Raw genomic sequence first — 12,032 nt, 5'->3', positions numbered from 1 at the left:
TGTGTTTAAACAGCAAACATTTCTGGGAGGTCTCAGTCTCTTGTTAGTGTAAATGAGGTCCTCAGTGAGGAACAGGGATTGTTCAAAGGGGCATTTGGAAAGGAGCATAAGACACAGGAAGAAGAGGTAGAAAAGCCTGAATTCATTCATGACCTAATTGTGTCAAGGGGTGCTTTTCTACCTAGAGTCAAACTGGATGTATTTTTCTGACCTGCAGAGACAGGGATAACTATGGCTTCATTCCTACTTGGCAAAGAAAGGGTTGAGAAGACACCATCAGGTCCACAGTGAGACATCACTTCATGTCAACTAGGATGACTATCATAAAAAAACAAAACAGAACAGAAAACAAATGTTGGTGAGGATGGAGAAATTGGAACCCACGTGCCTGGCTGCTGTGGGAAACAGTACGATGGACCCTTAGAAATCAAACATAGAATCACCATAGGACCCAGCACTTCCATTTCTGGTTACATACACAAAAGAATTGGAAGCAAGGATTCGAACAAGTCTCTGTACACCCATTTTCATAGCAGCATTATTCACAGTAGCCAAAAGATGGAAACAACCCTCAATGTCCATTGAAGATGAATGGACAAACAAAATGTAGTATATGGAACAAAATATACAGTAGCACATGATTCAGCCTTAAAACAGAATGAAATTCTGATACATGCTGCAATGGAGAGGAACCTTGAAGATATTGTGCTAAGCATAATATGCCAGACACAAAAGGACAAATACTATTCAATTCCACTTACATGAGGTGCTTAGAATAGACAAATTCACAGAGACAGGAAGGAGAACAGTGGTTACCAGCGGTTGGAGGGATGGGGGAATGGGGATTATTCCTTGATGGGTACAAAGTTCAGAATGAGAAGATAAAAACAGTTTTGGAGATGTATAGTGGTGATGGGTGCACAACCATGTGAATGTATTTGATTTCATTGAGTAGTACACTTAAAAATATTAATAATGATATATATATTTTTTTGAGATGGAGTTTCACTCTTGTCTCCCAGGCTGTAATGCAATGGCACGATCTCAGTTCACTGCAACCTCCACCTCCCAGGTTTAAGCAATTCTCCTGCCTCATCCTCCTGAGTAGCTGGGATTACAGGTGCCCACCACCATGACTGGCTAATTTTGGTGTTTTTTGTTTTTTCAGTAGAGATGGGGTTTCACCATGTTGGCCAGGCTGGTCTTGAACTCCTGATCTCAGGTGATCTGTCTGCCTTGGCCTCCCAAAGTGCTGGGATTACAGGCATGAGCCACTGCACCCGGCCTAAACAAATGATAAATGTTATACATATTTTTTACCACAAAAAAATTTTTTACAAAGGAAAGAAAAGAAATTTGGTAACTGAAAACTAGGCTTCCTTTTTCTTTCCTCTAGGAATAGTTATAATTGGAGTTCAGATTAGATGAGAAGGTGTGTCAGTTGGGCTAGACTAAGTTATGCTAGGTAACAAGCACCCCCCATGTTTCTCACTCATGCTATTGGTCCGTCATGGGTTGTCAAAGGGGCTCCTCCTACTCATCCAGGGACTCCAGCTAACAGAGCAGCACACGACAGAGAAAAAGATGTCCAAAGTTCTTGCACCAGCAAGTAAATTCTTTGGTTTGAACACAACCCACGATACTTCTGCTCAAAACTCTTGGGCCAGAACTCATCATGTGTCCTACCTAAGGCTGGGAAGTGCAATCTTACCATGTTCTCAGAAGGTGGGAAGACAGAAGTCTTTGACAAACCGCACTAATGATTACTGGAGAAGTAAGTGGGATAGTCCAGAGGAAATCCCATTGGACTCCATTCCCTTTGAAATGGAAAATGTCCATCTGTTATACAACTGTTCATTCAGCCATCTAATCACTCATTCATTCCAAAAATGTTTTTGTAGGTTTACAATCTAGACAGAGCCTTCTTTGTGGGCTCGGTCACTTCTCGACATCACAGATGGTTTCTGCTTCTGTCAAGGGAAGGTTCAGTCACTAAGTCACCCCTGCCTGTCCACCACTATCATGGTGTGTGGTCTTCCATGGCAGCCAATCCTCTCTCCCCAGCCACCCAGGCAAGGGCTTCTTTGGGGCCCTGGTCACTTGCCACCTAAGACACTCTTCAGCTACTTCACATGATGACCAGGGCAGCCAGGCTCTGAGGATCTACTGGTAACCCAGGGAAGACAAATGCCCCCAGAGCCAGCAAGTCCCCTTCCTGCCCCGCTAAAAGAGGAATAAGAACTTGTCTCTGGCAGCCTCTTATTTGGAATCTTGAGCACATGCTGAATTGGGGCAACCCATCTGTAGCTTCCCCAGGACTGTGATCACACCTCAGCTCTGCCTTGTAGCTGCCCAAAGTCCCAGCATGCTTCTCATCTGTATCTTCCCCGGCCTATCTTCTCATCTCCACACTCATTCCATTGTGTCCTCCAGAACCTTCGTTCCATAGCAAAAAAGCTTCCCAGTATCCATTCATGTATTCAATAAGTGCTTAATAAATGTTTCCTATGTGCTAGGCACTGTCCTAGATTGCAGAGATGAAGCAGTGAACAAGACAGACACCCGTCCCTGCCTGTGTGGGACCACTGCAGCAATCCACGTAAGAGGATGCACTGGGGTGTATTGGTGGAGGTGATGAAACACACTTAGATTAGACATATTTGACAAACCCCACCATTCTTCTGGACCCTTCCCATCTTGCTTTAACGAAAACCTCCGTGATGAGTCAGACATTTGCTTTCTACAAATGTCCAATTCTCCTGCTGCTCTCAGCAAATGGCCGCATGCCCCTTCATCACAAAAATGGAGTCTTTAGATGTTAACTCCTCCAACTCCCATCATCTCACCTATGTGTTATCCATGGGACATCCATCCTCACCTCCTTCCCTCCAGCCTCCTTCAAGATGAATCTTTGTTCTCTGGTCTAATTCCCTCCCATTTTCTAGAACCAAGACTTCTTCCAGCATTCTTTGAGTTCTCCTGAATTCTTCAACCTCATGCTATATACTGGATCCTTCTTCCAGATCTTTAAGCATGCTCAAGATGAGTCTCCTTTAAAAATTAGAAGTTAGGGCCAGCACAGTGGCTCATGCCTGCAATCTCAGCACTTCAGGAGGCCAAGGCAAGAAGATCACTTGAGCTCAGGAGTTCAAGATCAGCCTGGGCAACATAGTGAGACCTTGTTTCTCAAAAAATATTTTTTTAAAAAAATAGCTAGGCATGGTGGTACACACAGCCACTCAGGAGGCTAAGGCAGGAGGATCAGTTGAGCCTGGGAGATTGAGGCTGTAGTGAGCCATAATCACTCCACTGCACTCCAGACTGAGTGACAGAGCAAGACCCTGTCTCAAAAATTAAAAAAAGAAGTTAAAATATTAAAGAGAGAAATTTCCAAATCAGTTTTAGAAGTATTGATCATCCATTGACTGGTGTTAAGGCAACTAAATATATCTGTGGGGGACATGGTGGGGAGAAAGAACCAGAACCTCCTCTCACATTATTCACCAAAATCAATGTGAGATGAATTAAAAAATTGAAGATAAAGGCATAAAACAAAAAAAATGCCTAGAGAAAACAAAGAGTAATTTGTGATGGAAAGATCTTATAAGAGAAAAACAAGAAGCAATAATAGAAAACATGAACAGATTTGACTATATAAAAAATGCTTGTATAAGATACTATAAATATAAAAAGATACCATGAACAGCATTCAAAGACAAATAATAGACTGGAAAACAATACTTGTGACACATAACAGAGAGGGGGATAATATCCACAACATACAAAGAGCTCCCACAAATCAATAAAAAAAAGGACTGAGATTTTTTAAACATTGAAAGATCTGAACAGGCAATTCTCAAAAAAAGAAATTGAAATGGCAAATATGCATTTAAAATATGCTCAAAGGCCAGGTGCAGTGGCTCCACCATATACAAAGTGCTCCCACAAATCAATAAAAAAAGGAGTGAGATTTTTTAAATGTTGAAAGATCTGAACAGGCAATTCTCAAAAAAAGAAATTGAAATGGCAAAGATGCATATGCTCAAAGGCCAGGTGCAATGGCTCATACCTATACTCCCAGCACAAGGCAGGAGGATTACTTGAGGCCAGAAGCTTATAGGCAGAAAGCAATACCCCATCTCTAAAGAAAATAAATTTTTTTCTGTATATTTTTTCTTTCTTCTCTTTCTCTTTCATTCTTTCTTTCTTTCTCTTTTTCTTTCCTTCTTTTTCTTTCTTTCTTCTTTCTTTCTTTTCTTTCTTTTTTCTTTCTTCTCTCTCTCTCTTTCTTTCTTTCTTCTTTCTTTTTCTTCTCTACCTTTTTTTTTTTCAAGGTCTCACTCTGTTGCCTAGGCTGGAGTGCAGCAGTGCGACCGTAGCTCACTGCAGCCTCAATTTTCTAGGCTCCAGTGATCCTCCCATCTCAGCCCCCTAGGTAGCTAGGACTCCAGGCAGGGACCACCACACTGGGCTAATTTTTATTTTTATTTTCTTTAAAGATGGGGGTCTTGCTGTGATGCCTAGGCTCATCTTAAACTCCTGGAGGATGCGACCCCTCGGCTGGAGGGAAGGGGAGCGTGTGATGAGGACCAAGAAGGAGCTGAGGACAGCCCCCAGGCAGCTCCTCAGAGCAGAACAGCTGTCCCAGTGAGAGCAGGCCTCAGGACTGGGGACACCTTTCAGAGATGATCATTCTTTCACAAGACCTTCCTGTTAATACCTGGCTTGTTTTTAGGTTTTAAAGAAAGACCACGAAAAGAAAGAGCTATCACTAAGTAGCATGGTTTTTCTGCCAAGGGTCTGTCTGCCAGTAGACTACAATAAATGGAAACCTAGACACTTATAAAGTATTATCTGGGAAGATATTGGACCAAAAAATAAATCCAAATTAACTATCTGATGCCCTATAAAATAAGCCTTTAAATATTTTGTAGGATCCCTCTTTCCCCAAACACAACCCTTCTAAGCCAGCAGTCTTCTTTCTGTCCTAGCCCCTCTGTCAGAAGTGGACGCTCGCAGACCTGAGGTGTTTTATCTGCAGCTGGAGTCCCAGTTAGTTGTGGGTCTGATTCAAATGATGGTGGTGCTGGCAGAATGAGCTCATCTTCCCTGCACTGATTCCTCCCTCCACCCCCTCAGCAGCTGGGAGCCCTCCTGAAAGAACAATAGATTTATAATATGAGCAAAACAAAGGAGTCAGAAATGAACAGCTCTTGGAAATAAGTAGGTCAAGACACAATCAATTTCCAAATTTAAAATTATGTTTGAAAAATGTACCTTTAATACAGGAGCCCGCTTTGGCCCTGTGGGGTAAAGCATGTAAAGTTTAAAGTTCCGGAGTGGCTGCTTTATCAGGTAGTCCGAAGTTTACCCTGGAGGTTAAGCAATAAAATGGAAACAAAAATAATTTAACAGTTTTGCAGTTAGTTTAACCCAGCAACAGCTCCTTAAATAGCTTTCACCTTCCTGGAGCTTGCCATGCTCATAAAGCTACAAGATGAGTTTCAAAGCTATGGATTTGCTAAATAGAACTTCATTTCCTCTTCTTATTAGAGGTAATTAAATTTAGTAGACGTCAGTAAAAGCCTTGTAAACAGAAAATATGAATGCTTATAAAAGTCTGCCCTTTCTTTTCAACCTAATAATTAAGATGCAACAAGAAAGCAGCTAATAACAGCTCGTAATTTATCAGGTGCCATTCAACCCCGAACCTGAGACATATTGTAGAAGTATTAAACACTGAAATGAAAATAATACCCATTGAAACACATTATTTATTAAATGCATAATCACTCAGAGAAATAAACACGTTGCACAAAGAACTTGATAATTCGGATAGAAACAGTGTATATATTATTTTCTGCTTTAGATATATTACCTATCAAGTTAGATTCTTAAATCAAAGCCACAGTTTGTTTAAATGCAAACTGCCTGTGGCAGCCCAGCAAGCCCCAAATTTCCACTAGACGCTCACCTTGATAGCAGTGTTCAAAGACGGAGTCACTGTGAAATTTTTTCATTATTATTGTTTTTAACATTCTCAAAAGAAAAGAAATCCCCCAGCAAGCATTAGAGAAGCAGGAACAGAAAAGAAGAAAGGCAATTCTAAAAAGAATGGTAAGAATTATACATTAATGAAAAAAATTCCCACCGTCCAATACACATGAACTTAGAAGCAACTGCAGATTCAATACCTTACAACACACCCCAGTGTTATCTAACCCCAAATGGGGGTTCAAGAATGTACTTTACATCTTTACTAACTGTCCAGCTGAAATCTGTACTTGGAGTTCTTGAGAATAAATGATTATGAAGACTTTGGGTACCATATTTCATTGATTCAAAGAGTCCTTCAATTTTAAGGTACACCATCATTTTATGTATCACTAAGAAAGAAAAAATAAAACACTGCCGTGTAGACTATGACATGCTATCACTGTAAGCTGCATCCTGATGTCAGAGACGTTAAAACTGCAAAAAGGCTGGGCATGGTGGCTCACACCTATAACACTTTGGGAGAGCAAGGTGGGAGGATCGCTTGAGCCCAGGAGTTTGAGACCAGCCTGGGCAAAAAATAGTGAGACCCCATCTCTACAAAAAATAAACCAATTAGCCGGGTGTCATGGTGCATGGCTGTTGTCTCAGCTACTCAGGAGGCTGAGCGGGGAGCCCAGGAGGTCGAGGCTGCAGTGAGCTATGATTGCACCGCTACACCACAGCCTGGGCAACAGAGCAAAATCCTGTCTTAAAAAAAAAAAAAAAAAAAAAAAAAAACCAGAAAAAAATGCACTTTAGAATCCACAAAATACAGTCCATAAAACTAGATGAGGTGTTCTCTTGGTTATGGTATGTGAACTACATCTAAATAAAGTGTTATTAAAAGTGTTGTTGGGTTTAATGTTGAAAAATCCTAATGCTCACTGTTGTAGAGGGCAGTCAAGCAAGGCTCACTTTGGAGGTAACAGAGGAAAGACCTAAGGCAACGAACCCCTGGCTGCCTGGAAAGGAGAGTTCTGGCCAAGGGAAGAGCAGGTGCAAAGGCCCCGAGATGGGCGGGTGCCTGGTGTGGGGAAGCAGAGAGAATGGTGCGGACAGAGATGGCAGGAAGTGGGGGTGGGGAAGGTAGGTCATAGGTGATGAGATCAGAGAGGTGCCAGAAAAAACAAGAGTTTCCTTTTGTTTTCTAGGAAGCTGAACCCAAATCTTCAACATATTCCTAAGAAGAATATTGGGAGAGAGTAGGGTTATCCATCAGTTTCACTCCAAAACCCTCCTTTGTAGCTTCTTGGATAGTTTAAGAATGAGTTTGCCGTGGCATCTCTGCCATCCTTGCAGGCGGTCCTCCCCAGGGTCCCTGTCACATATAGGTAGAATGCTTGAAACAGTCCCCTCCTCCGCCTTGGTTTCAGAGGTGACATGTTAATCAGATGGCTTCCAAGCTTTGAAGGGCACGGACTTACTTTCAAACAATGGGACTCCTAGATGGCACCTTTGTTTTTCACCAAGGATCAGAAATTGCCCTCTTTTATACAACAGTGCTCATGCAGAAGCGGCCCCCCTCCCCAAGCTACCACCCAGAACCCAAGAGCAAAATTTCTCTCTTGAAGGGCCAGGTGTCCATTCATTAATCATAATAGTTAACATTTATGAGCAATGAGCATTATGAGTATTGCACTATGCTAAGTATTTCACTTATGCTAACAGCTTTGTGCACTTTTTTTTTTTTTACCCTCAAGCAATCCTATGTTAACAGCGCTGTTAGTAGCCTCATTTTATACAAGGGAAACTGGGGCATAGAGAGGTTAAGCAATTTCCCTGTGGTCACACAGCTGTCTGTGTGTGTAGTGGGGGACTAGAATCTAGGTGCAATTTACCCCAAAGTTCAAGTATCTAACCACTTTGCTATGGTGCATTGCTCTCAAATGGCAGTGTCTGGAAAGAATTCTGTCTCCTCCCTCTACCACATCTGGTATCTTCTATGCTTGATGGAACCAATCACTTGGATGAAATTGAAAGTGTTGCTAAGGTTAAGAGGTTAAATGCTCAGGCTCTGGAGCCAGAGTGCCTGGGTTTGAAACCCACCTCTGCCAGATACTAGCTGTGTGGCCTGGGGCAAGTTACATAGCCTCTCTGTGTCTAAATTTCATCACCTGGAAGAGAGAGAAGAGTAATGACCACATACGGTTGTTGGGAGAGTTATGTAAGACAGCGGTGTGAAGCACTCACAACTTTGCCTGGCACATAGACAGCTCTCAACATTTGGAAGCCTAGTTTCTGTCCCTGGGTTTCAAAAGACACTTAGGAACATAGCCTAGGTCAACGTATTACAAATATGTTTGGTTAAAAGGCCATTTCACACAGGGTTAGCAGTTGTTGAAGCTGGGCGACAGGTCTATTCTATGATTTTATTTTTATGCTTAAAAATTGTGCAGTAAAATACTTGTATAAATAGACACAATTCACCTACAATGTTAACTTGGTTACCTTTGGAAAGGAAGGAAAGGAGAAAGTTACCGTCTGGGCATGAGTGAAGCTAGTTCTACTTCTCAGTTATATGAGTAAATCTCATCAAGCCTTCGTGACTGTTTCCGTGTGCATTTCTATATGCATGTTGCATATCAATAAAAAATTAAATGTAGCTGGGTGCTGTGGCTCACGACTGTAATCCCAGCACTTTGGGAGGCTGAGGCGGGTGGATCATGAGGTCAAGAGTTCAAGACCAGCCTGACCAACATGGTGAAACCCTGTCTTTTTGCTGTTCTTAAAAAGGAGATCTGGGCAGGTGCGGTGGCTCACACTTGTGACGGGGTTTTTTCTTTTTGAGATGGAATCTCACTCTGTCACCCAGGCTAGAGTGCAGTGGCGCAATCTCAGCTCACACGCTTGTAGGCAGGAGAATCGGTTGAGCCTGGGAGGTGGAGGTTGCAGTGAGCTGAGATTGCGCCACTGCACTCTAGCCTGGATGACAGAGTGAGGTTCCATCTCAAAAAAAAAAAAAAAAGAAGGAAAAAAAGAAAGAAATTAAATACTACATGTTTGCACAAAAATGTTTTAAATAAACTAAAAGGACATTTCAGATTACCAAAGGTCCCTGTGACCAAACACCTGACCTCGTCCAAAAGAGTCTCTTCCCAGTGAATGGGGAAATGAGTGTCCTCCCAGCGGGATGCATGAGGACACGGCAGCAGCATCCCAGGGAAGTCAATCCGCTTGAACAAAGCGTGGATACGCACTTGTGCTTCAAAAGAGGAGTCCCATCTTATGAGGGGTCCATGCATGAAGTTATGTACAGTGGAAACTACTCATGAGAATCCCCTAGGGAGCTGCCAGGTTGGAAGCCAGCAGGCTGTCTCCTGGCCAGTTTCATTGTTTAGCTTTTTACTTTGGAATAATTATAGATTCACAGGAAGTTGCAAAAAATATACATATAGGGAAGTCCCCTGTATCCCTCACCCAGTTTCCCCAGACAGTAACATCTTCTATAACTATAATGTAATATCCAAACCAGGAAACTGACATTGGGACCATCCATAGAGCTGATTCAGATTTCACTAGTTTTACACACATGGCATATATGTGTGTGTGCATGTGTGCACACATGCACAATTCTATATGACTTTATCCTATATGTAGATTCATGCAACCACTGCTACAATCAAGATACAAAACTGTTTCATCACAAGGGGCCTGTGCTGCTGCTTCTTTATAGCCACGCCCACTCCCTCCCTCCTTTCCCTAAGCCTTGGCACCCAGGATTCTGTTCTCCAGCTCCATGTTTTTGTTATTTCAAGAAGGTTATGTAAATGGAATTATACAGCATATACCTGTTTGAGTCTGGATCTTTTTCTCTATTATCCATCTAATAGTTTATCCTTTTTTATTGCCGACTAGTATTTCAGGATATGGATGTATCAAAATTTAACTAATGACTCACTGAAGGACATTTGGGTTGTTTACAGTTTGGGGCTCTTATGAAAGCTGCTATGAACATTCATGTACAGGTCTTGCATGGATACAGGTTTCATTTATTTGGGACAAATGCCTAAGAGTACAGTTGCTGGGTCAAATGGTAAGTGCATGTTTAGTTTTAGAAGAAATTGCCAGATGATTTTCTCGAAGTGGTGATATCATTTGACATTCTCCCCCTGCGATGTGTGAGTGATCCAGCATCTCTGCATTCTCAATAGAGAAAAATGATAGCCATTCTCAGAAGTGTGTGGTAATTTCTCATTGTGGTTTTAACTTGCATTTCCCTAATGGCTAAGGGTGTTGATAATCTTTTTATGTGCTTATTTGCCACCTGTTTATCCTCTTCAGTGAATTGTCTGGATAGTTCTTCATCAGGCACAGGAAAACATCCTTGTTCTTCAGTTGAGCACGACGTGAAGTCTCTGGCTTGGGTTAGAAGCCATGTAGTAGCTTCCCAAATGAGAAAACAGATTCTCTGTTCTCACATCTTCCCACACTCTAGGCTGTGCAATCCCTGAGTGCAGTTTGGGGATGGAACCCTTATGCTTTTTTGCCTTTTTGTGCATGTTTGCTGAGCACAGATAACTGAATTCGTGAGTTAAATGTTTACGATGGGGCCAGGCGCGGTGGCTCATGCCTGTAATCCCAGCAGTTTGGGAGGCCAAGGTGGGTGGAGCACTTGAGGTTGGGAGTTCAAGACCAGCCTGGCCAACATGGTGAAACCCTGTCTCTATTAAAAATACAAAAAATTAGCCGGGCATGGTGGGCGCCTGTAATCCCAGCTACTCGGGAGGCTGAGGCAGGAGAACTGCTTGAGCTCAGGAGGCGAAGGTTGCAGTGAGCCGAGATGGTGTCGCTGCACTCCAGCCTGGGCGACAGAGTGAGATTCTGTCTAAAAAAAAAAAAGTTTATGAAGTGACACCACTATCTTAGTAGCACAGGGGGATCTGACGTCAGTCCAGTGCCCCAAGTCCATGTCCACCAAGCTCTTCCAGCGTTCCCTCAACTCCATTGGCCAAAGCAGTTTGTCTTTTGTGATTTTGCTCTCTGGGGCTGGCCTGGGCCCTGTCCCCACATTGTGGCCTTGCAGTGCCTTGTTTGGAGTGCTTCCTCGTACCCCTTTAATCAAGACAGCACCAAGACCTTCTGCAGATCCCACTGGCTGCCCTGCCCCAAGCACCAGCTCAGACACCTGTCTATCATATCAGTACCTCCCCAATTAAGTGTTGCTTTGAGACACTAACTTCGCTGACCAAATTCCCCCCAGCTTCGCCCATTATCAGCTTTCTCCTCTTACCTGCTGCTAAGGTTCCACTAGGATCATGGTCAACTCACCTTATACAGCACCAGTGACAAGAAACAACTCAGGATGTGGTACAAAATTGGGTGTAGCTGGAACAAAGGTTAGAAGCAAGTTTTGGGAGGTGAAATTGTAAGAGGCGGGGGTAGATTTCAAACAGCCTTGCAAGCTGTGGTCAGAACCCAAAGAGAAGGGGGAACTAGAGGAGATTTTAAAGCAGGGGATGCTGAGATCAGATCAATTTTGCTTTAGCAGATAGTCAGCTAACAAATGTTTATTGAGCACCTATTATGTGTCAGATAAAAGTTAGCTGGATTGACAGCTGTTGAAGATCAAATAATCTGGGGGACATGAAGTCTTATGAGTCCTGTGGGATGTCATAAAATGGAAGTAAAAATTTGATCCAGCAAGTCCTGCCCTCTAGTTCCTCTAGTCCAACATGGAAACCAGATTTGGCAAGTAAAATTGTGTTCATAAACACTCTGGAAACAGGACAAATGAAAATGATCAACGTGGAGTGTCTTATAAGTGACTCAAGGATTCGCGTGGCAAGAGAGGCAGTAAGGAAGTAAAGATCCAACTAAGGTGCTCCTGGAGAGTGTGGGCAGCAAAGGCAGAGTGCAGAGACCTCTAAGGAGGAGCGCACCGTGGGACAGTGCCTCCATGGACGGCGGGGCTCAGGGCGACGGCACACCCTGGGACAGTGCCTCCATGGACGGCGGGGCTCAGGGCGACGGCACACCCTGGGACAGTGCCTCCATGG

The sequence above is a fragment of the Homo sapiens genome, chromosome 16 (assembly GCF_000001405.40).
Source record: "Homo sapiens chromosome 16, GRCh38.p14 Primary Assembly".
NCBI lineage: Eukaryota > Metazoa > Chordata > Mammalia > Primates > Hominidae > Homo > Homo sapiens.
Note: the sequence above shows the minus strand (reverse complement) of the source record.